This window comes from Homo sapiens, chromosome 12 (genome assembly GCF_000001405.40).
Source record: "Homo sapiens chromosome 12, GRCh38.p14 Primary Assembly".
NCBI classification, from domain to species: domain Eukaryota; kingdom Metazoa; phylum Chordata; class Mammalia; order Primates; family Hominidae; genus Homo; species Homo sapiens.
In genome coordinates, this window is record NC_000012.12 from 105,222,842 (window position 1) to 105,247,692 (window position 24,851).

At 43.1% G+C, this 24,851-nt stretch overlaps 1 protein-coding gene across 14 annotated transcripts in view, besides 6 other annotated features; it reads right to left on the reverse strand.

Annotated features, from left to right (window-relative positions):
- APPL2 (adaptor protein, phosphotyrosine interacting with PH domain and leucine zipper 2) overlaps positions 1-13,333 on the reverse strand; it is a 62,875-nt gene extending 49,542 nt beyond the window's left edge. For 5 of the 14 annotated variants that reach the window (XM_017019554.2, NM_018171.5, XM_006719472.2 and 2 more), the window contains exons 1-2: positions 13,118-13,333; positions 6,284-6,382 (exon numbers count right to left, since the gene is read on the reverse strand). In XM_017019554.2, coding sequence (XP_016875043.1) covers positions 6,284-6,382; positions 13,118-13,171 — 153 coding nt within the window. In that variant the 5' untranslated portion in view covers positions 13,172-13,333. Of the gene's footprint in view, positions 1-6,283; positions 6,383-6,786 lie in introns of all 14 variants that reach the window. The other 9 variants (XM_047429065.1, NM_001251905.2, XM_011538532.4 and 6 more) reach the window with 5 other exon arrangements.
- Positions 5,837-5,926: a silencer, noted in NCBI's record as "silent region_4806". NCBI's record gives its function as "represses an Ori minimal core promoter by ATAC-STARR-seq in GM12878 lymphoblastoid cells {active_cell/tissue: GM12878}" and the evidence as "EXISTENCE:reporter gene assay evidence [ECO:0000049][PMID:35858748]".
- Positions 12,912-13,161: a silencer, noted in NCBI's record as "silent region_4807". NCBI's record gives its function as "represses an Ori minimal core promoter by ATAC-STARR-seq in GM12878 lymphoblastoid cells {active_cell/tissue: GM12878}" and the evidence as "EXISTENCE:reporter gene assay evidence [ECO:0000049][PMID:35858748]".
- Positions 13,212-13,351: a silencer, noted in NCBI's record as "silent region_4808". NCBI's record gives its function as "represses an Ori minimal core promoter by ATAC-STARR-seq in GM12878 lymphoblastoid cells {active_cell/tissue: GM12878}" and the evidence as "EXISTENCE:reporter gene assay evidence [ECO:0000049][PMID:35858748]".
- Positions 13,212-13,716: a biological region, named in NCBI's record as "H3K27ac hESC enhancer GRCh37_chr12:105629835-105630335".
- Positions 13,216-13,716: an enhancer, noted in NCBI's record as "H3K27ac hESC enhancer chr12:105629835-105630335 (GRCh37/hg19 assembly coordinates)". NCBI's record gives its function as "activates a minimal SCP1, AML or CMV promoter by ChIP-STARR-seq in primed H9 embryonic stem cells {active_cell/tissue: H9 hESC(primed)}" and the evidence as "EXISTENCE:reporter gene assay evidence [ECO:0000049][PMID:30033119]".
- Positions 22,982-23,483: an enhancer, noted in NCBI's record as "H3K4me1 hESC enhancer chr12:105639601-105640102 (GRCh37/hg19 assembly coordinates)". NCBI's record gives its function as "activates a minimal SCP1, AML or CMV promoter by ChIP-STARR-seq in naive H9 embryonic stem cells {active_cell/tissue: H9 hESC(naive)}" and the evidence as "EXISTENCE:reporter gene assay evidence [ECO:0000049][PMID:30033119]".

Genomic DNA, 24,851 nt, shown 5'->3' on the forward strand with positions numbered 1-24,851 from the left:
AAGGGAGAGGAGGAAGGAAGAAAAGGTGTCAGAGAAACTTTGTCAGGCTTGCGGTCAGTCTCAGAGGCCAGGAAAGACATCTGCCAGGGCAACAGGTTAATAAAGAAACAGGCAGCAGGAGTGGCAGAGCAAGAGTGGAGGGTGTGCAAAAGGTCTGGCATGTTCTGGGACAGCCAGCAACAAGACAAGAGGAGCAGGCTGAGATGCAGCTCATGAAGGATTTAGCATGCCTTGCTGAGGACTTTATGCCTTTTCCTTGTGGTTACAGAGAGCCACGGAGGCGTCTGAAGATGAGGAGGTGACGGGAAGGTTTTAAGTAATCCAGCTGCGGTGTGGAGGAAGAATGAAAAGGGGAAGACGTCTTCCTGACGACAGGAACTGCAATCGCCCAGGGAAGAGCTAAAGCTAACTCTGCACAGTAACAACAGGCAAACGTTGTTTCGAATAAAGACCCAGAGTCTGGAAAGTGGCAAGGGCCAGAAAAGGATTCAGAAATGGCCAGGTAGTTGCTAAAGTGATCTTGCCCAGGGAGTGAACACAGACTCGCCAGAGAAGGATTCCAAAGGAATTCTGCAGGACCCCAAGACTTCAGGGAACCACCAAGAACAAGGGGCAGAGCCCAGGAGGGGGCCAGGAGACAGCCTGTCAGAGGAGCCAATGGAAGACAGTTTCGAGGGGGGTGTTATTAACAGAATCAGATGTTGCCCATGGGCAGAGTGGAGAGAGGCTGTGAGCCAGGCACTAAGCAGCCTCCCATGCAAAGTGGAGGCCAAGACCAGACTGAGGTGGCTTGAGGAACAAATATCAGATGTTTGGCGAGGAGCCAAAGATGGCACATACTGCTGTTCCTTCAAGAAAGGATGAGAGGACTAAACTTCTATTTAACCCAAATAGCAGTGCCAGTGTACAGTGCTATTGCAACTATTATTATCATAAAACAGAAGACGGTTCTGTTCACACTGAGAGCACTCTGTGAGCAGAGACTGATCTTAGCATTTTACAGGTATTAACATGATTAACTCACAAGAACCCTCTGAGGTGGGTATTCTTATGGCCTTTGTTTAGCTGATAAGGAAACTCAGGCAATCAACTGATGATGGCTCGACCTGCCCAAGGTTACACAGCAAGCGGCTGAGCCAAGACTGGAACTCAGATCTGTGAAGTCCAAGGTCACACACTTAACTCCTGTACCTGAGTGAGTGAGCCTCACCCAGAATAATCTAAAAGCAATCAACAGCTTTTAGATTGCTATCTGAAAGCTACCAATGCCAGCATGAGGGAAAGCTGCAGACCAAGTGCAGAACCCAGGTCTAAGAAGTCATTACCAAGAGCCATTCACGCCCTCTGCTCCCTCCGACCTTAAGCTACATATGCACCTCCTCTCAGTCCCTGTCAGATAAGCCTCAATGTGACTGGTTTTCAGGGCTGCTAAAACACACTGATTAGAACATTTATGGATAAAAACTAATGAAACCAAGAAAGTTATTCTGGGATACAAAAAGGAACTGGGTCCTGCCTCTAGCGTATTACAAAGCTGTGGGCTGATAAACAAGGGTGGTTCTTCCATGATGACAAGAGGAGCCTCTAAAAGCTTACACTTCTTTGGCCTCTGCTGCCATTAATGGTGGCTAGCGTGTCAGGAGAGCAAGCATAGTGGTTAAGAGCGAACGCAGGCTTTGCAGTCAAAGATCTGGGTTTAAAATTCTGCCACTCATCAGCTGTGTGACCTTAGGCAAGCTACTTAACTTCTCTGAGTCTTAGCTTCCTCATCTGTAAGCACATACTATACAAATACCTCCCCTCTGTTGTGAAAGCTGAGTGGCCAGCCTAGTGCGTGGCACTTTTATGTGCCTAAGAAAGGCCACTATTTTCACTCTTAAAACATGCAGCTGTGACCCTGATCTGCCTCCTAGGTGCTTCTCCCTCCCCCATGACAAACTCACACTCCTGGATGCTCACTACTGTCATCTGGTTTCCCACTCGGTACATTCACTTGTTTAGCTTGCTATCTATATCATCATTCTAAAGAAAAGTACTTTTTTCTTTATATACCAAATTATGCATACTTTACTCCTATTCCCTCCCACTGTCTTTACCCCAATTTGAGAAAATACTACTTCCACCTCCAATTCGGGCTTCTAGGATCAGGAGTTTTAAGATCAACTTTCAGGATCAGTAGTTCTGTATTCTGAAAGCTTTGGTTAAGAACGACTGCAGACATGTAACTGTTAAATTAAACCTGCTTTGCTGAAGGAAAGTGAGAGTCTTAATCACGGTTCTCATTTCAAAAAAATTCCATCCCAAATTTACTTAAAAAAAAAAAAGCAAAAACAAAACCAAAAAATCTCATACAAACTGAAGGTAGCAACTACAGAGGTTTGTCATCTGGTGGAAGAGAATGCCAGGTTACAAGGGTTGCCAGGTTTCGTGAATACCGCTGGGGATAGCCTTCCTGTCCTGCCTGCCAGGAACATTATTACCCCTGGCCCCACTTTCTCAGTACAACAGCTGAGAGGAGAAGCAAGATGACCTAAATAAATTTCACTGTAAGCCCCTAACAAATCCATTTTAAAAGATTAGAAAATTTTAAACCTCTTTAGGAAAGAAGAATATTATGGCCGAGATGCAGAATGAAAATAAATATTAAATGTGTTGAATGCAAAATTTGAGAATTAACTGAATATATATGCATATGCATCTATTTAGACATAACTGAAGTTTTTAACTTATTTAGCCAATAGTTTGAAAAATAGACTGTTCTAAGTAACCAGGCTCTTCTCTGTTAATGCACTGGAAAGGTACACTACTACTTTCATTCAAAGGACCCACAATGGACTATTGCCAGACGTGACTCCAGGGACTACTGTAAGATGCTGAAAACAGCTTAGAGCCTATAGTTTCATTCTAGAGGTTAAGACAAACAAAATTTAAAATTTCCCCAAACTAGCCACAATCAGCAAAACTGCTCATAGAAGTTTTCCTCTAGTTTTTCTTGTTCTTCCTCTTTCTAAAACTAAGGTCTCTGAAGGGCATTCGCAATATCAGCATCCAGAAATATACCGTGTAGTCTGATTAAAATATCTTTTATGAACACTTATCATTTATCAGCAGCGTAAGCCTGCTTTTGAAAATATGATAATGAAAAACTGTATCTTGCGGAGAGTCTGTTTTTACAAAGGAAATTATAAAACTATCAATCAAATTCAACATGCCTAGGTATAAAATATTTATGGAATAACGTGCAATGAAACCAAGAAAACATAACTTTAGGGGAAAAAACTTGAATGAAAACACTGAGAAATATACTATCTTAAAATATATATATGAAAACAAACAGATCAAAACAGGAATCAGAAAAGATTTCTTTCTTCAATTAAAAACAAAACGAAACACCTAAGCTTTCAAAGAAACCTGAAAAACCAAGTGTCCTTGGCCCAGCCAATCTGAACACAGCTGATCACTGCTTGACTCTGTCTTTGAATCTGGCAGCACTAACCAGACATTCTCACCAGCCTGTGCTGCAGGAAACGCTGAGGCAGGAGGAAGGGTTTCTGGCCAGCAGGAGAACCCACGTGATGATCATATGCTGCGCATTAAAAGCTGGGTTACAGCCTCTAGGAAGGAAAGACCCACTTAATTTTGGCAAAATGTCGTTTTCTGCCTCAACAGAAAAAAATGCATGAGACAGCGTTTGGATAACCCCAAGTAGATGATTCTGACAGACACCGAAAGGCAGAACAGAGACTCCTCAGAGTGACAGAGACACAGTCTCTCACGTCTTGGGTTTTTAAGCCTTAAATAAGAGACAAATCACTTAGTGACGAAATACAAATTGCTGAATAGCAAGCAATTTCAGGTATAAGCCCAGTAAGAACATTCCTGTTTTCTTAAATCTAGAATATTTAGGGAAAAATACAAAAACAAAAATTGACGAAGTTCTCATTTCTCTAAATTCTGAATGTCTTAACAAAACACATAAAATCACAGGTGAACACATAATTCTTTTGGTCATTAAAACTAGTTCTAGCTACTCAGAAGGCTAAGACAGATCACTTGAGGCCAGGAGTTTCAGACCAGCCTGGGCAACATAGTAGGACCTTATCTCTACCAAAAATCAAAAAGAAAAAAAATTAGCTGGGTGTGGTGGTGTGCACCTGTAGTCCTAGCTACTTAGGAGGCTGAGGCAGGAGGATTACTTGAGCCGTGGAGTTAGAGGCTACAGTGAGGTATAATCATGCCACTGTACTCCATCCTGGGTGACAGAGTAAGACCCTGTCTCTGAAAATTAAAAATAAAAAAAAAAGACTCTAGTCCTTTTTTTAATATTTACAAAAATTTTGTGTAGATACAGGTCCTCACTATATTGACTAGGCTGGTCTCAAACTCCTGGCCTCAAGCAATCCTCCCGTCTTGGTCTCCCAAGTGCTGGGATTACAGGCCAGCCCAAAGCTAGTTCTAATTAATAAGTTACACTTATACCTTACTGCATAGTTTGCCTATCTATATCTCCAGCCCTGTACTCTGGATCTGAACTTTCAACAAGATCTCTTTATCCACTTTGATGTCCCATGAACTCCTCAAAATCAGTGTTTCCAGAGAGAATTACAGTTGGGCATCCCCATGACAGATATGCACTCACAGGCACGCACACACACTCATACGCACCCTGCGCCTCTTCCTGTGTTCTCCCATGTATCCACCCTGCCGTTCCAGATGAATACCTGAACATCATTCTTGATTCATCCTTTACCACCTGACCCCTTCATACCCAATCAATCACCAATCCACCTCCTAAATACCTCTCAAGTACAGCTGCTTCTTTCCACTTCTACTGCCACCTCCCCTATGCTTAGGAGTGAAGAGTCTCAGCTTGGCTCCAGCTGATTTGCTCTGCCATGAATTAAATGGGTGCACCTGGACAAGTTTCTCACCATCAGAATCCTTAAGTCTCCCAACCAATACCATAGGCATAATAACAATAACAATACCCACCTCAGAGTTGTTAGGGGAATTTAAATAAAATAATCAACATAAAAGCCCCTGGAAGTTCCTGGATGCTATTAAGTATTCAATAAATCTCAACTCTTACAATCACCCTCCTTTTGCGTGCCCAGCACAACCCCACTAGGTTAGGTGGCTCTCCTCTCCTGGCCCCTCTAAGGCTCTCTGGTGATTGCTTTGTCTGCCTCCCAACCCAACTGTCAGCTCCCCAACGGCAAGGACTGAGTCTTATTCCCATATGATGGGAAATGACTAATAAAACAATGAGCAGTAATAGAGTGGTGAACCTATGTAATAAGAAATGACTATATATATTAGTAAGAGCTATATACTACTGAATGTGGTATAGGTTAAGTACCCTGCATCTGAAATGCTTGGGACCAGAAGGATTTAGGATTTTTTCAGATTTTGAAGTATTTGCTGTATCAGTCGAGCTTCCCAAATCCAAAACTCCAAAATGCTCCAATGAGCATTTCGTTTATGTGTCGTGTCAGCACTCAAAAAGTTACAGATTTTGGAGCATTTCGGATTTTGGATTTTCAAATTTGGGATGCCCAATCTATATTCCTTAAGAGATTATTAATGAGAAAAATATCAACACATAAGATTTAAGTCAGCAAGGAATCAACAATGAAAATGATCAGTTACCATAATATTGTGATGTGTTCAATGCTTTGTAACATAAAGCATTTTATTTTTAAGTAACTCATAAATCTTCTCTTAGAAAGCAACATACATGGGCACTTCTTGACATTAAAAAGATTCACTTTTGCTACTCAGCAATTTCTTTTGCATGCTTTTGCAAGCCAGAGATATTTGTTCCACAAACAAAGAAGCCACCCGATAGTTTCAGAACTGTGACTCAAGTCTTTTCAGAGGAAGCAGTTGAAAAAACATCTCTGCCCTCCCACACTGACATCTAAGACTCTGCCCATTTATGAAAAAGACAAAGAGTATGTGTCAAAATACTGGACCCACTTATTCACAAGTAGGAAGAGGAGACTCAAATGTTTCCCACTGGGTTGAATTTAAAAAAAAAAATTAGGAGCAGTTATGTGGCCCATCTCTAATGGTTCTAATTAAAGACAAATCACTCTTAAGCAATGAGAACAGACTGTCCTTAGGTTTTTGAGGTGAAAAGTAGTGAGAAAACAGTTCTGATTTTGTTTCAAAATCTTAAATGATGTTTTTCGGATTCCAATTTCTCAACCTCTGAGGGAAGTTCAGGATGAGGGGAGAGAATGCCCACTCTGCGGTATCCAGGTGAGGGGTGGCAGCATACCTGGGCTCCATAGACGCGCTGCATTGCCTGGAGCAGCTGGTTGGTATAGTCTGTGAGGGTGCCAGCATCTTCTTCAAACACGCTCAGTAAAGAGCGAGTCTGGAAGAAAAGAAGAAAAAAGGTCAATTTCATTTCTAAGTGGAAAAGTTACAGAGGAGGAGGAAGATCCACACACCCGCACATGCAGAAACCAGAATGCGAGGAAAGAAAGGTACCTGTTGGTTCCCTGGCTTCTTTTATTGATAGTACCAGTACCATTTGATTCCTGGAGCTCTGGTTTAGAGCTCGCTTTCTAATCCTTTAGACTACAGTGTCAGGGCAATTTCAGAATTGGAGCCAGAAAAGCCAGTTTTTAAAAGATTATGACTGAAGGGCTATTATCTGTTCTGACTTTAGCCCCTACCTAAGCACCAGTAAAGTCTATCCAATAAAAAAAGTGTTTAAAAGGGCAGCCTCTCCTCTCAAGTCCATAAGATAAACACAGGTCAGGCCTATCTGTGTACCTGGGGTGTGGTCATCTAGCACAGCTGTAGTGTGATCATCCCAGCAGGAACCAGCAGTCTGGTTTTTTGTAATCTTGGATGTCTTGCAGGAGTGTAGGAGTGTGTCATTCTTTCCTCTTATGGTACTACGATTTCCTTGTTTCTTTTTCTTTCTTTCTTTCTTTTTTTGAGATGGAGTTTCGCTCTTGTTGCCCAGGCTGGAGTGCAATGGTGCGATCTCGGCTCACTGCAACCTCTGCTTCCCGGGCTCAAGGGATTCTCTTGCCTCAGCCTCCTGAGTAGCTGGGATTACAGGCACCCACCACCACACCTGGCTAATTTTTTGTATTTTTAGTAGAGACAGGGTTTCACCATGTTGGCTAGGCTGGTCTCAAACTCTTGACCTCAGGTGATCCACCCACCATGGCCTCCCAAAATGCTAGGATTACAGGTGTGAGCCACCGCACCTGGCCTGCTTGTTTTTAATTATATTTTATTCAACCATTTTCAAACTCACGGCCAAGAAATTTCACAACCCCTGGGCCCACCAGCAGCAGCTCTGGACATAAAACTCAAATAGCAACTTAATAAGAATGCTAGTTTACCGTTTTTAGGAAGACAAACTCCTCAGTGCTCAGAGAGCAGCTGAGCAAAGTCATAAGCTGAAAGGCATTTCCTATCATTTTCATCCACGGTGCTCAGAACACAAAAAGCACTAGAGAAATATTTACATACTGGATGGTGTACGAACAAGAATTAAGGTGCACAGAGGCAGATCTACTCAAGGGATTTTCGTTAATGTGCCCAGCACAGTGGGAATTTAAAGTACTATGTTAGCAATAATTGGATCACAACTTCAAAATATAACCCATTAGGCATAGAATGAAGAATAATTTCAGGAATGCCTTTGAGGTGATATCAAAGCACTTTACCAAATACAACTCACTAAGGCTCATTATTTCCCTGCAAATAAATTGCAATTCCTCCTTTTCTTTTTCTAACTTATTTCAGGTAAAGGAACAGTAACTGACCCCAAAGCACCCTCAAAAAACTAGAATAAGAACCTATGCATTGGGATCATTACCTCCCACCACACATGCTCTACCCAGACTCTGCTCCAAAACTCTGATGCGCTTCACAGCAATGCATGCTTATCCCGCTTTGCCCAGTCTTCCGGGCTAAAAACACCAGGACTAATGTACTGTCTTCAGTACCAATGCTTATCCATAGAAGAGCCACTGTGCAATAATGAATAAGGAAATTGTAACATCATGTTTAAAAAAGCTCTCAGTGAAAGAAAAACAACACAGAATTTGTACAGTGTATAATTTGTGTTAGAAGAGCTCTCTGAACTTTCAAAAATTCATAATCACAGTATGAAATACATCAGGACCTGAACAAAGGTTTTCCCAAACAATATTTATCGATAATATGCATACACATTGTGGCTTTTTCCTATTTTAGTCTATTCCATTTATAAACAAAAATTGTGGTTGTGACCCACTGGATTTCATAATCTACTAATGGATGTCAACCAGTAGGTTAAACACACTGATTCAGGAGAATGAGAAGTGATATAACTGGATTGTGGCTAGTTTTTTCAAAAATACTACTATGTCCATTTAGCCAAATCCTGTTTATTGCATTTAATACTCTAAGGGATAAAAACAGACTGGAAGAAAAGAGGTAAAAAGGGAAAGAGAGGGTTTGCATGAATGTCCTCCACAAAGAGGGTAGAAAGAAAACTAAAATTACCACTTACTCTGTACCACCTATGTGCTGGACGCTGTGCTGGGCACTAAACATATGTGACTTCATTTAATTCTTCTAGCAACTCTCCAAGGTAGATTCCATGGTTCCATTAACTTCATTTTACTGATGATGAAACTGAGGCTCATCAAGGTTAAGAAATGTGTTCAACCTCCCACTGTAGGAATGTGGCAGGGCTGGGATGTAAATGGGTCGGCAGCACTGAGGTCACCAGCAGGGTGGCTCTCATCAGCGAGCATGATCTTTGGTCCACAGCGTACAGCCCTGACTGGAGGCAGGACAGGGGCAGACTGGAGCTGGATGCTACTACCATGTTCCCGCCCACAATACCTGCCAGAGAACTACATCACAAGTGTCCTTTTTCCTTATATCGTGGAAATGCAACTGTGATGCCCATTAGAACTGACAGGGAAACTCTGGTCTTCCCTTTTTAATTTAACTTGGCAGTGATCACCTCTGGAAAAAATATAACCAGCTACCTTGGACACTGGCTATCCTCATTTACTATACTGTGTCTGCTCAAACTTTGGTTTGGAACAACAGAGATATTCTGAGACATAAAGAAGGAATGAGACCAAGAATAAAGCAAAGGCACACCAGTAGCTCAAAATCCCACGGTCAGAAAGACACGGTCAGAAAGACACTGGTATATCTCACTTACAAAGATAACAACAGCAATCATTTATGGGGTTACTATGGCATGCCAGCATGGAGACACTTTACATATGTTACTTGTTCTTCCTAACAACTCAACTAAATAGCTATTTTTATTTTTATTTTACATACCTCCAAACACAACCTCAGAGAGATTGAGTAACTTGCCAAAAGTAACAGTAGCAGATTCAGGAGTGGAATTCCATCCATTTTCTACTGCCCGACACTTTTAAGGGTATGCTCGGCCAGAGAAACAAATCCAAGCACCCTATGCACACAGCCTCAGCTCCCTATCACTCCTTTACCTTAAAGAAACTGGGTATTACCTAATAAAACACTCCTAGACATTCTCAAGAATAGTGTGTGTAATTGTGTAGTGGCCCAATGTTAACACCACTGACTACTGAGAAAATTTTAAGGTTATAAACAAAGTTCTTATCTCCATAATTTGGTGGAGGAAGAGAATGTCCTAGTGAAAAGAACCAAGACTTTGGGAGGCCAAGACAGGAAGATTGGTTGAGCCCAGGAGTTCAAGACCACCCTGGGCAACACAGCAAGACTCTGTCTCTACAAAAATTAAAAAATTAGCCATGCGTGGTGATGCATGCCTGTAGTCCTAGCTACTCAGAAGGCTGAGGTGGGAGGATCGCTTGAGCCCAGGAGGCTGAGGCTGCAGTGAGCCGTGTTCATGCCACTGCACCCCAGTCTGGGCAACAAAGCGAGACCCTGTCTCAAAAAAAAAAAAAAAAAAAAAAAGAACCAAGTCTATTGAAAGGAAAAATAGGTTATAAACAAAAAGAGGAACAGCACAAAACATCTCCACAGTGAAGACATATAAAACCACCAGGTTATGTTTTGAGATTATCTTGTTTGAGGAAAGAAAGGCCTGATTTGGTTGGAGAGGGCTGCTCCCAGCCGGGCCACTCAACTGCATAACCTCAGAACTACATCTTTTATTTCTTTGTTCCGTTATGCCAATCGCAAAAGAAACAAACAAAACACAAACCGAGCAAGCAACAGTGCTGTTGTCTTCACCTTACCTCAAAAGTGTACTACTTACAGGACAAGAGAATAAGCCCCTGAAGAAGTACAAGCTGCAGGAGCTCAAAGCTGCATTTGTGTTCCTATCGCAGCAGGATTCACACTGTACTGGAACTGTTGCCTCATTATCTGTCTCTGGAACAAACTGTGAACCAGTCAAGGGTAGTCACTCTTATTTATCTTCACATTCCCAACAGCCAGTAGTGCCAGGCAAGGAGCAGAGGCTTCTAAACAACAATGGAGGCAGATTTCTTAATCCCTAAAATGTTCAGCTTCCCACATATGAGAGGTAAGCAGAAATAACGCATGTGTATGCACACAGACTAGTTTTACAATGCATCGTGCAGCACTGCAAACTAAAAAGGAGTCCATGAATAGATGTGTCTAAGGTCAGTTAACTGCTATTCAGCTCTTCCTGGGTCACTCAGTTCAATTACAAAAGCTTTGGTGTTCATTTAATTCATCCTGTGCAATCACATTACTGAAGCAACTCTCAAAATTACTCTTCATAAAACTAGAAGAAACACACAATAGATGGTTTATTAGGATCTTTTCCTTTTAGTGAAACATTTTAGGTCACTGATGACAGAAAAGCCCGGTGCTAGATAGCTGGGCTAACTTGAACCATATCCCTAGTACAGGCAAGTTGCCTGGGTTCCAGTCCTGGCTCTGTCACTTTATGGTGTATAATTCTAAGCAAATTACTTCTCTGCTCCTTAGTTATTTAAATAGAGAATGTACTTCAAGACTATTGGGAGGATTGAGTGAGTTAATATATGTAAAGCATTTAGAAGAGTCCCTGGCACATAAAATCCATGAAACAGGCATTTGCTATTGTTTTTATGCTTTGCACATAAAATGAAGGGGATGGATTAGATTCCTTCCAGTTCCAAGTCTAGGAGTCACCTTGGGAGTAAAGCTACATTAGGCACAGGTCACATACAAGAGAGTAGTATATAAATATGCTCTGATGATCATTAAAGACCTTCTTAAAGTCAGCTTCCATTCTGCACAACAGCACCATCAAGAGCCCTCTTAAGGGTGATGGCCAAGTCTCAAAAGCAATGACAAATAAACTTCCTATATTAAAAGGAACATATTAAATAAGAATGATAATATCTCTAAACCTCCTCTGCCACATACAAGTTCAAAGTTATACACCATGTAGATATGACAATGTTAACTCTAAAGCACCTTGAAGATCACCTGCTCCCTCCCTGTCTCTCATTCTGTAGATGTTCTGTAGATTAGGAAACTGAGCCAGCTACAGGGTGGAGATGAAGAGACTCACCCACATCACATCCTAAGTGAGCGTGAGAGCCAGAATTAGAACCCAGGTCTCCTGACTTGCTCTACAGTCCTGTCTACTTCCTCACAGCTGGGCAAATCCTTTAAGCCACTCACAAACAGTGTATATTCCTTTATGTTAGAGCTGGAAATTAAGAATATGATCTGTTTGTGAGGACAACATCAAGAATCAGTTAGTATAATCACTGTAACCTGGCTTAGGCATCACCATGTAGGTTAGAAAAGCAGGATATTTCTGTGCACCTCAGTTTCCATAAGTGCAAGGCAAACAGAGATCCTTGTTCAAAGTGATCATTTAAAATCTCACATTGCTATCTTCAGATTCCACACAACAGATATGAACATGGACAAAATGCCTTCTACCAAGGGCTTTAGTCTGATTAAAATGCCAGGAGTCTACAGCCATATAAAAAAGGGAGGCCTTGAAAAAGTCGTCCAGAGGATGCAAACTTACCAAAAAACAAAACAAACAAACAAAAAACACACACACAGCTTGCTTCCAGTTCCTTACTTATCTACACTAGGAGGATCACAAAAAATGAACAAAAGACACCTATGCATACAGCCCTTCGGACTTATTCTGAACTGTCGATGTAGGTAAATCCATACAAGGATCATCCTGGGAAGTATTATTCACTTAGAAGAAAAAGGGAAGGAACCCCAAAAGAGAGGGGAAAGTGTGAAACGAAAATAGGTTAATCTTATTCTAAGTTTTCAAGAGTTGAGACACTAGGAAATAAAGGCACTTATTTAAATAAACCCGGGATGCTGAACCAGGAGTGTAGGTACGAAGCTGGAGAAATGTTAAACAAAGGAGAACAAAAGACCCCTGGGGAAAGATGTGCTGAATTATGAACTAATGTCATCCTGCACTCATTTGCTATATTTACACACCAGTTTTCATCTGCAGAGCTCAAAGGACTTGACTCTCATCTCGAGTGTGCTAATGAAGTTCCCTTGTGCGACAAATGGGGCAGGTACTGTATTTTTCTCTTCACTAATGGGAAAACGGTGCCAAAAGGAGGCCTGGTACCGCCGGAAAAGAGATCCAGGCCCTCTGCCTCTCATTCTGGCTGGCACAAGTCTCATCACATCATTAGGAGTAGCAGTAATAAGACTGACTCATTATCTGTACCGGACATTGTCTGCTGACAACTTTACAGGTATTTCTCATTGACTTCTCCTAACAACCCTATGAAGCAGGCACAATTATTATTCCTATTTTACAGACGACAAAACTAAGGCACAATAAGGTGGTTTTCCTGAGGCACTCAGCTACTACATGGAATCAAAGTTTAGATCTCGCAGACTCAGTTGCAGCTGAGCTTGCAGGGGGGTCACGACATCAAGACTCCGGCCGCGGGGCTCTCTCCCCTGTTCCACAGCTCTGCCCCGGCTCAGGACTCAGGGCCCGGCCCGCCCCCTCCTCAGCCCGAGAGAACCCGGTGGGAGGCGCCGCGAGGGGGCCGGGCGCACTCCCGCGGCTGCCCGGCCGGGGGCGCGGCCTCCACTCCGGGGCTGGAGGGGCCTCCTCGGCCTCACCCCTGCGGGCGAGGGGCACCGGAGCGGCGGGAGGTACCTGGGGGCTGTCCTGCAACGCCTCCTCTAGCAGGAGCTTGTCCACGGCGGGCATGGTGCGGCGCGGCTCAGCCGAGGGCTGGGTTGGAAGGACAGAGGGCAGGAGACGCGGCGGCCGAGAGCACTCCCCGGCTCTGGGCTCAGGCGACGCGGCGGCCACTCCGTGCCCGCGGCGGCCCCGCGCGCGTCCACGCCTGGCCAGTGGCCGCCGCCGCCTGCCCGCCGGCCCAGCCCCCGGCCGAGCCGGATCAACAGGAAGTGTGGCGCGCCCGGCAGGGAAACCGGAAGTGTGGTGAGCTCCGGTCCCGACACCGGAAATGTGGCGCCCGCGCTTCCGCCTGCGCTCGCCGGCTCGCGGGGAGCGGGGGGCTCTGGGTGCCAGTCCCGTTGCTGAGGGAACCCTTCGGGTGTTTGTTCTCTGTGCTGAAGGTCCGTCAAGTCAATGCATATGAAGTCCAAAAGAGGAACTCGAGGGTAGAAAGATAAGGTTTTATCTGCTTATGGCTACCCAGAAAGCCTTTTGAGTTGAAGGAGCGAACAGATTTTTTCTTTTAATGGAAGGAAAAACCCACACTTCCCACACCACTTTTTCTAGATAAATTTCGACGCCCCTGAAACAGCTCTGAGAGCAAAGAGGTCGCCTATGCTATGGGAACAAAGAAAAGAGGAGAAAAGCTGGATAACTGACTCGTCTGTGATAATCAGAAATAACCACTTTGGAAACCACAGCTATTTGATGTGGTCATAATTAGGTCTCGTCCTCCTGGTTTATGTTTTGTGATTTTGGAGAATTTCATAATCAAATGTTTAGAATTGGAAGGGCTAGATAATCTAGGTTCCAGTGTTGTCATTTAGAGATGAGAAAATGGGACCCAGAGAAATAAGTGGTCTGCCCAGGGTCAGTTAGTAAACGCCAGAGGAAGAAAAGAAGGAAGGGAGAGGGATGGAAGAAGACTGGCAAGTGGAACGTGACACCTTTTTACACGGAAGGCAAGGGTTTCTGAAGTTCCTTCTTTAGAAGTTAATAAGACTGGCCGGGCGTGGTGGTTCACGCCTGTAATCCCAGCACTTTGGGAGGCCGAGATGGGTGGATCACGAGGTCAGGAGTTCAAGACCAGTCTGGCCAAGATGCTGAAACCCCGTCTCTACTAAAAATACAAAAATTAGCCGGGCGTGGTGGCATGCGCCTGTAATCCCAGCTACTCGGGAGGCTGAGGCAGAAGAATCACTTGAACCCGGGAGGCAGAGGTTTCAGTGAGCCGAGAGGGCACCACTGCACTCCAGCCTGGGCAACAGAGCAAGACTCCGTCTCAAAAAAAAAAAAAAAAATCATGCAGTATGTGTGTCACCAAAATCAACAGAGGGGATATGGTAATATATAAATTCTGCATTCTGCAGAGACCTCTTAGGTATATCAAGACCCAATCTGCATTGCTGACACCTCTGACAGTCTAGTATAGTAGCATGCTGCCTGATCACTTGAAAACTCCAAGGCCATTATTCCCTTGGTCTGGCCAGCGCCAACCTGACCTGAACCATTTTATGGCCTCCATCTACCATATTTTCCTCCACAGTATTCTTTCTTCCCTATTCTTTCTTGCCTCCACCATACTCTTGTCTTCCCTATAGGTGGAATCATGCTCACACCATATTTCTTCCCTTTCCTCTATTTTATACCGCCTGCCATTCAGTTCATTTTACCTCATCCAGTGTCCCAGACTCTCTTCTCACTGAAATCTAATTCCTCACGGCCAGACTCATGCTCTTCCTTCATCCTGATTGCGAGAACAGTACAAGGATAGTATTATACCCAGGGAAATAAATGTGCACATTTTAATTTGAAAATATGCATTACAAGAAGTTAGTGCCCTCAGAACCCTTGAAAGGGCTCAGACAGCCCCTTGGGAATCACAGCATTTTTCATGTACCACCTCATCTTCTAATTAAAGTTACTTTTCTTCAAATACTAGTATTCAACATTCAAAAATTGTTTAAGCTATCCCATTACTTTTCTGCATTTTCTTGCTACATTATGGGCTAAACAGCCTTAGTGGGATTTCTTGGAACTTAAGAACTGTTTACAACATTGTTTCTATGGGAAAATCTATCCCAAATTCAAAACAACTAAGTTACAAAAGTAGATCTGGAAATACAACACATGCATAAATGGTTTTAATTTATCTCATTTGTTAATTCATCCAATCATTCATTCATGTATTAAATATAGACTGCTCAGTGTTAAGCACTGTCTCCCACTTGTTTGATTCTCATTTAAATTCTGAAGGCAAATATCCTCTCCTTTGATAATCTGTGAGAAACTACATAAGAGGAATTTTTATGTCAACATGAACATTTAAAAATGTTTCATTAAAGAGTATATATCTGTTCCTATTAAACTATTATGCAGGTGGATTTTAGAAATCCACCCCACTGTCTCTGAAATCCCTGGTCAGCTGTGAAGTTGGTGACAGGAAGTATAAAGATGGACAGTCTGGAGTTGTCGTGATGTCTGAAGAGAGAGAGGATGAATTATATGGAGGTGTAACCTGTGACCCATTGAAGGCCAGTGGGGAAAAGGACACAGTGAGACACAAAAAAAGGACCCAGGATGGCCAGGTCAGAGAAGGCCTGGGGCTTCAGGAGTAAGAGAGAAAGGCAGGAGTGAAGAAGGCAGCTGTTTTGGGAGATGCTTAGCAAACTGCATGATAGGGCACACGCATTGAGATTCTTTCCTCTGCCAGTCAAGCCCTTTCTCCTGCCTCTTGTCTGACAAACCCAACCACAATCATCAAATCCCAGTTTAATGTGACTTTTTTGATGAAGTCTTCATTTACTCCTGTCCCCCCAAGCAGAATACATTTTCCTTTCCTTGAGTGTGCTTCAGTAGCACTTGCCGAGATAATTCTAGAATAACACTTACCTCTCTTTGTTTCCACCTCCAACCTTCCAGCTAGAATGGGTAGGAACTTGGTCTTATTTATTTCTGTAATTAGAGTGCCTAGTACATTACCTAGCACAAAAGCAGTTGCTTGATAAATACTTACTAAACTATAATGTGTTATTATAACTTATACATGATTGATACTCCAGAGTTTAAAAAATGTTTTCATGAATCTCATTTCATTTGATAGCACAATGCTGCTTTTGCCGTTAATCATTCACTAGGTAGCACCGACTGTGTGTTAGACTCTTCTCTAGAAGCTGAGGATATAGGCTGAAGCAAAAAGTAGTCCTTGCCCTAATGGAGTTTATATTCTAATGGAGGAAATAATAAGAAACAAATACAAGTTGATAAGTGTATGATAACCTTTAGTAAAGGAATAGAGGATCATGGGAAGTGGAAAGGATTCTTTGAGGTGTGCAACTGTTGAGCTGAGAATTGAATCAGGGAAGCCCAGCCCGAAGGAAAGAACAAGTGTGAGGGCCCTGAGGCTTGCTCCTCTTTGAGGAGGAGCAGAAAGGCCAATGTGGCTAAGGACAGCGAGGCGGGAAAGAGTGGGAGGAGATGAGGTTGAAGAGATGCCAATCACTGGCTCACAGAGGACGCTGAGTCCATGGGGAAGGACTTTGGGTGTTGCTCTTGATATGGCAGGAAGCCACTGTAAATATGAGCAACTGAATGACAGGGTCTGATTTACATTTTTAAAGACTATCTCTGGGTTCTGAAGAGGCTTTTGCAATCCTTCAAGCAAGAGATTTGAGAGATATAGGTCAAAGTCGAGGGTATGGAAATGTTGGGAGGTAGTTGAAGTCTGAACATATTTTGAAAGTAGAACTGACAGGATATGCTGGATGTAGTATGTGAGAGAAAGTGGGAAAGCCATTGGGCAAATGGTCCTGTGATTTACTGAGACAGAAAACCCTGGGGAGAAGCAGGTTGTTGGTGGTGGCGCATCAATAGTGCTGTTCAGGCTGTTGTGATTGAGATGCCCGTTAGGCAATCAAGTGGAGGTTTCATGTGGGTACTTGTATATACCACTCAAGTTTAGGAGGAGACTGGGGCTGAAGGTATAAATCCATGAGTTCACCAACATGGGGACGTTATTTAAACCAAAAGAGTAGATGAGATTTCTTAGGAATCTAATACAGAAAGGAAAGAGGAAAGCTTGGTGGATTGAGGCCCAAGCAAGATCCAGCAGCTAATGGTGTAGGAGGAATATCAGGAGACTAATAGACCACCCTAGAAGCCCTATGAATGGGAAACTTGGAGGCACTACTATACTAAAAGCCAGGGGACAAAAGGTTTCAAAAATGAATTGATCCACAATGTCAAATGCAGCTAAGAGATCAAGTAAGAATAAAGACCAGAAATTGACCTTTAAATTTGCCAATAGGAAGGTCATTCGGTGAATTTGGTAAGAGACTTTGATAAGAGCAATTTTATTTGAAAGCAAGATGGTGTCTGTTCAAGAGCAATGGTGGGAATACAAAGACAATTCTTTCAAGAGGTTTTTCAATAAAGGGAAGTGGTTGAAGGGGAAGTGACTGCAGGGGATGATTTAAAAAAAGGGAGGTTTTTGGTTTGTTTGCTTGTTTTAAAATAGAAAAGTTGTAGACTTTAGGCAAGGTATTTAATCTTTCTGAGCTTCAGTTTACTTCCCTATGATATGAGAATGGCATTACCAATCACAAGTTGTTTCCATACACACCTGTCTCTATGTCCTGTATTAGTCAAGACTTTTTAAGTGGCAAATCACAGAAACCTAACTCCAACTGGCTTAAAGAAAACATAAAAGTCTGAAAGAGATTGGATTTCTTAGATTATTTATATGCTGATGAGAATGATCCAGTAGAGTGGGGGAAAAGCTAAAGATATGAGAGAGAGGTGACAATTGCAAGAACAAAGTCCTTGAACAGACAAAAAGGAGTAGAATCCAAATCACAAGTGATAGGCTTGGGAGGCTGAGGCAAGTCGATCACTTGAGGCCAGGAGTTCAAGACCACCATGGTGAAACCCTGTCTCTCCTGAAAATACAAAAATTAGTCGAGCATGCGTGTGAGCACCTGTAGTCCCAGCTACTTAGGAGGCTGAGGCAAGATAATCGCTTGAACCCAGGAGGCAGAGGTTGCAGTAAGCCAAGATTGCACCACTGCACTCCAGCCTGGGTGACAGAGTGAGACTCTTTAAAAAAAAATGCAAAAAACAAATCACAAGGGATAGGGATGGCCTTAGATAGAAGCAAGGACAGTACGTTCATAGTGATACAAGAACAGTAGGTTGGTAGATTAAATGGGAGGAATGAAGGCGTTCTATTCTGATTGCTTTTATTTTTCTCAGTGAGATAAGAAGCAAGGCCATCGGCTCAAAGCAATAATGGTCAGATGGTATTGAAGGTTTGAGGAGAGAGGAGATGGCATAAAATAGTCATCTTGGAGCACAGGAAGGTGAGGCATAAGTATTAGTATCCTCATTTGATAAACGTTACAACTGAGGCTCAAACAAATGATGTGACAGGGCCCAAATTCTAAATGCCAGGGCTCTGCCCACTGTACCCAAAGAGAAGAAGGAAGCCTGCTCAGTAGGAAGCTTCAGACTACCCAAACCTAGGATTCCTGTCCTTTTACCTCCCAGGTGCCTACATAGTGTCTGACTCACAACAAATGCTTTCCTTTCCTTTTCTTTCTTTTTTTTTAAATTTTTTTTAATATTTATTTATTTATTTATTTATTTTTGAGATGGAGTCTTACTCTGTCGCCCAGGCTGCAGTGCAGTGGTGCCATCTCAGCTCACTGCAACCTCTGCCACCTAGGGTTCAAGCAATTCTCCTGCCTCAGCCTCCTGAATAGCTGGGATTACAGGCGCCCACCACCACGCCCAGCTAATTTTTGTATTTTTAGTAGAGACGGGGTTTCAGCATCTTGGCCACGCTGGTCTTGAACTCCTGACCTCATGATCCACCCATCTCGGCCTCCCATAATGCTTTTCAAATGCTTGTTGAATGGCAGCATTCAATCCTGTTCTCTCCACCCAAAACTTGTGACTCAGGTTCTGTATCACCGACTGTCCTCTCATTTGCTTTATGAGACAAATGAGACTGTCCTCTCATTTGTCCTCTCATTGCTCCCTGTAGCCAGTCCATGGAAACAGAGAGGAAATTCATGACCTCCAAGGAGGTTTGGAGTCCTTCACGCCTGAGAGATCACCATGGAAAACAATGAAGGGGAGAAAAAAGCTCGTCAGTTCTCAAGTATTCATCTCATGGTGGCGACTGGCCTTTGACTTTCACTCAGGATACAAATTTGATCCTGCCACTCCGCTATTTAAAATCTTTGGTGATAATAAGAGGAATAACAATAATTGCAAACAGACACTTACTTATTGAACTATTACTATGTGCCAGGTACTATACTAAGGATTTTACCTGCATTATCTCCTAAAATTATTCAAAACCTCATTGGTTATTTGCTGTTATAATCCCCAGTTTAAAGATGAGGAAATTGAGGCCTGGAAAGCTTAAAGAACTTGCCCACAGTTAGCTAATTTCAGAGGTGGGATTCAAACCTGTGGAATATGTTTCTAACTCCAGCCTCTTCCAAGGCTTCCTTCAGTGCTCCTTATTGCCTACAGTATAATGTCTGCATTCCTTAGCAGGATTCACAAACCCCTGCTTGATTACTGTGCTGCCATCATCTTCTGCCATGACCTTTTGTACACGTGCCTTACAAAGTTCCCTGTAGTCCTTGAAAATGTAGTTTCCCATGCCTGTGTCTTTGCAGAGATTGTTTCCATCAGCCTCAAATCCCCTTCCTCCATGGGTCTCTTAACAAATTCATCTTCTAAAGCTGTGCTTAAATATCGCTTCTGTGGTCAATGAAATTCAGTTCTATGCATATTAATGAAGCATGTACTTTGTTCCAAGCACCGAGGTAGGCACTGCAGGTTTAATAACGTAAAAGAAACATGGACTTGCTGCCCTTCAAGGGAGATTCCCATCTACTAATGGCAGACGATTAAAAACAGGAGTGTTCCAGTAGAGGACAATCCACATGACACAGGGAGCACATGTAAAGGAGTCATAGGCTAAGGTCAACATTTCTGGAATGAGTGTCCTGACAGGGGACGATGCACAGGACAGGAGTGTGTAGGAGAAAGGTAACCACGATCTAATCAGTCAATCTTGCCTGTAACTGTTGCCATGTTTGTGTGTTTGTGTCCCTGTCTGCTGCCTATGGTGAGTTATTGCAAAAGTAAATAAAATACATATTAGTAGGTTTATATATATGTTATACCTTATGTAAATATTTTGAGAAGCGTTCCAAGAAGTAACAAGCTCTTGAAGAAAAATGCATCCTTGGCCGGGCATGGCGGCTCACACCTGTCATCCCAGCACTTTGGGAGGTTGAGGAGGGCGGATCATTTGAGGTCAGGAGTTCGAGACCACCCTGGCCAACGTGGTGAAACCCTGTCTCTACTAAAAACACAATAATTAGCTGGGCATAGTAGTGGGCACCTGTAATCCCATCTACTCAGGAGGCTGAAGCAGGAGAATCGCTTGAACTTGGGAGGTGGAGGTCTCAGTGAGCTGAGTTGATGCTACTGCCCTCCAGCCTGGGCAACAGAGTGAGACTCTGTCTCAAGAAAAAAAAAAAAAAAAAAGAATCTGTGTAGTGCTTCTACTGTGCTAGGAGAAATGTATTTCAAATGCCACCCAATAATGTTCACTATCATTTCCCAGTGTTTGAATGTTCAGTACAGGCAACAGTTCTTCATAAATACTACTAAATTTATTAGTTTTTATTTATGAGTTTGCCTATATTCATAGTAACAAGTAAATAGTATATGATATTAGAATTGTATTAAGAATAGCTTATGATTTAAGAATTCCTCAGATTTTCCAGGAAATCTGATTTCTTATTCCCAAATCCCAAAGAATGATATCTGTTGGGAATTTAGAAACTCCTAGTGGGGGCACATAGGCTAAACTAAGACCTTCTCTAGGTTGCTTAAAATTGATTTCATCTGTCTTTCCTCCATCCACATATGGGACTTGGTACATGCTCTTATTAGCACTTATGCCATTATCTTATTTATCTAATGTGCTTATCTTTCTGGACTGAACAGTGAGCCCTTATATTATAAGGCCCTTATCTCATGTATCTTTATTTCTTTAGCACCAACCTCAAAACCTGACTTTTTTTTTTTTTATTTTACTTTAAGTTCTGGGATACATGTGCAGAACGTGCAGGTTTGTTACATAGGTATACATGTGCCATGGTGGTTTGCTGCACCTGTCAACCTGTCATCTAGGTTTTAAGCCCCGCATGCATTAGGTATTTGTCCTGATGCTCTCCCTTCCCTTGTCCCTCACCCTCCAACAGGCCCCGGTGTGTGATGTTCCCCTCCCTGTGTCCATGTGTTCTCATTGTTCAACTCCCACTGATGAGTGAGAACATGCGGTGTTTGGTTTTTCTGTTCCTGTGTTAGTTTGCTGAGAATGATGGCTTCCAGCTTTATCCATGTCCCTGCAAAGGACATGAACTCATTCTTTTTTATGGCTGCATAGTATTCCATGGTGTATATGTGCCACATTTTTTTAATCCAGTCTATCATTAATGGGCATTTGGATTGGTTCCAAGTCTTCGCTATTGTAAATAGTGCTGCAATAAACATAAGTGTGCATGTGTCTTTACAGTAGAATGATTTATAATCTTTTGGGTATATACCCAGTAATGGGATTGCTGGGTCAAATGATATTTCTGGTTCTAGATCCTTGAGGAATCGCCACACTGTCTTCCACAATGGTTGAACTAATTTACACTCTTACCAACAGTGTGAAAGTGTTCCTATTTCTCCACAGACTTGCCAGCATCTGTTGTTTCCTGACTTTTTAATAATTGCCATTCTAACTGGCAGGGGATGGTATCTCATTGTGGTTTTGATTTGCATTTCTGTAATCACCAGTGATGATGAGCTTTTTTTCATATGTTTGTTGGCCACATAAATGTCTTCTTTTGAGAACTGTCTGTTCATATCCTTTGCCCACTTTTTGATGGGGTTGTTTGCTTTTTCTTGTAAATTTGTTTAAGTGCCTTGTAGATTCTGGATATTAGCCCTCTGTCAGATGGATAGATTGCAAAAATTCTCACCCATTCTGTAGGTTGCCTAGAACCTGGCTGTTAATTGACTTTCAGTAAAAATTTACTCAGTGAGTAAAGGAATTCGGTAACTGTTTCAATTAGGGTTAGATTTGGCTGTATCTAATAAGAAAAAATAATAATAGTGTCTAAAACATGGTAAGATTTTATTTCTCTCCTGTATTCAAGAAGTCCAGAGGTGATCAGCCCAGGGCTAGTGTGGCCCGTCACAGTGTCAGAGACAGATGCCTTCTCCTGTCCTCTCTGGCTTCCCTAACCAAAGTCACTCCATGGCCCAGGATGGCTGTTGGCTTTCCAGTCATCTAGTCAAATTTCAATCAGCAGGTTGGAGAAAGCAACAAAGAAGGACACATTTCCAGCAGAAATTGCACACAGAACTTCTGCTTACATCCCATTCCATAAGCCAGAGCTTAGTCACATTGCCACACGCAACTACAAGGGAAGCTGGAAAGTTGGCCTTCTTCCAGGCTCAGTATGCCCAACAAGGAATCAGGGGTTCTTAGCATACGTTGCTGGTGGGAACATAAAATGGCATGGCCACTGAGGAGAATAGTTTGGCAGTGCCTCGAAATGTTAAACGTAGTTATCTGGGACTCACCAGATCCTTCCTAGTATATACCCAAGAGAATTGAAACTATCTGTCCACACGAAAACTTGTACATGAATATTCATAGCAGCATTACTCATAATAGCCAAAAAGTGGGAAACAACACAGATGTCCATCAACTGATAGATAAACCAAAGGTGGTATTATAGTATCCACATGCAGTGGAATATTGTTTGACAATAAAAAGGAATGGGTGAGCGACACAGAAGACGGGTGATTTCTGCATTTCCATCTGAGGTACCAGGTTCATCTCACTAGGGAGTACCAGACAGTGGGTGCAGGACAGTGGGTGCAGCGCACCGTGCGCGAGCCAAAGCTGGGCGAGGCACTGCCTCACTTGGGAAGCACAAGGGGTCAGGGAGTTCCCTTTTCTAGTCAAAGAAAGGGGTGACAGACAGCACCTGGAAAATCGGGTCACTCCCACCCTAATACTGCGCTTTTCCAACGGGCTTAAAAAACGGCACACCAGGAGATTATATCCCGCACATGGCTCGGAGGTTCCTACGCCCACGGAGTCTCACTGATTGCTAGCACAGCAGTCTGAGTTCAAACTGCAAGGCGGCAGCGAGGCTGGGGGAGGGGCACCTGCCATTGCCCAGGCTTGATTAGGTAAACAAAGCAGCCGGGAAGCTCGAACTGGGTGGAGCCCACCACAGCTCAAGGAGGTCTGCTTGCCTCTGTAGGCTCCACCTCTGGGGGCAGGGCACAGACAAACAAAAAGACAGCAGTAACCTCTGCAGACTTAAATGTCCCTGTCTGACGGCTTTGAAGAGAGTAGTGGTTCTCCCAGCACGCAGCTGGAGATCTGAGAACGGGCAGACTGCCTCCTCAAGTGGGTCCCTGACCCCTGAGCAGCCTAACTGGGAGGCACCCCCCAGTAGGGGCAGACTGACACCTCACATGGCCAGGTACTCCTCTGAGACAAAACTTCCAGAGGAACGATCCGGCAGCAGCATTTGTGGGTCACCAAAATCCGCTGTTCTACAGCCACTGCTGTTCTGCAGCCACTGCTGCTGACACCCAGGCAAAAAGGGTCTGGAGTGGACCTCTAGCAAACTCCAACAGACCTGCAGCTGAGGGTCCTGTCTGTTAGAAGGAAAACTAACAAACAGAAAGGACGTCCACACCAAAACCCATCTGTACGTCACCATCATCAAAGACCAAAAGTAGGTAAAACCACAAAGATGGGGAAAAAACAGAGCAGAAAAACTGGAAACTCTAAAAAGCAGAGCGCCTCTCCTCCTCCAAAGGAACGCAGCTCCTCACCAGCAACGGAACAAAGCTGGATGGAGAATGACTTTGACGAGTTGAGAGAAGAAGGCTTCAGATGATCAAACAACTCCGAGCTACAGGAGGAAATTCAAACCAATGTCAAAGAAGTTAGAAACCTTGAAAAAAAATTAGACAAATGGATAACTAGAATAACCAATGCAGAAAAGTCCTTAAAGGAGCTGAAGGAGCTGAAAGCCAAGGCTTGAGAACTACATGAAGAATGCAGAAGCCTCAGGAGCCGATGCGATCAACTGGAAGAAAGGGTATCAGTGATGGAAGACGAAATGAATGAAATGAAGCGAGAAGGGAAGTTTAGAGAAAAAAGAATAAAAAGAAATGAACAAAGCCTCCAAGAAATATGGGACTATGTGAAAAGACCAAATCTACCTCTGATTGGTGTACCTGAAAGTGACGGGGAGAATGGAACCAAGTTGGAAAACACTCTGCAGGATATTATCCAGGAGAACTTCCCCAATCTAGCAAGGCAGGCCAACATTCAGATTCAGGAAATACAGAGAATGCCACAAAGATACTCCTCGAGAAGAACAACTCCAAGACACATAATTGTCAGATTCACCAAAGTTGAAATGAAGGAAAAAATGTTAAGGGCAGCCAGAGGGAAAGGTCGGGTTGCCCACAAAGGGAAGCCCATCAGACTAACAGGGGATCTCTCGGCAGAAACTCTACAAGCCAGAAGAGAGTGGGGGCCAACATTCAACATTCTTAAAGAAAAGAATTTTCAACCCAGAATTTCATATCC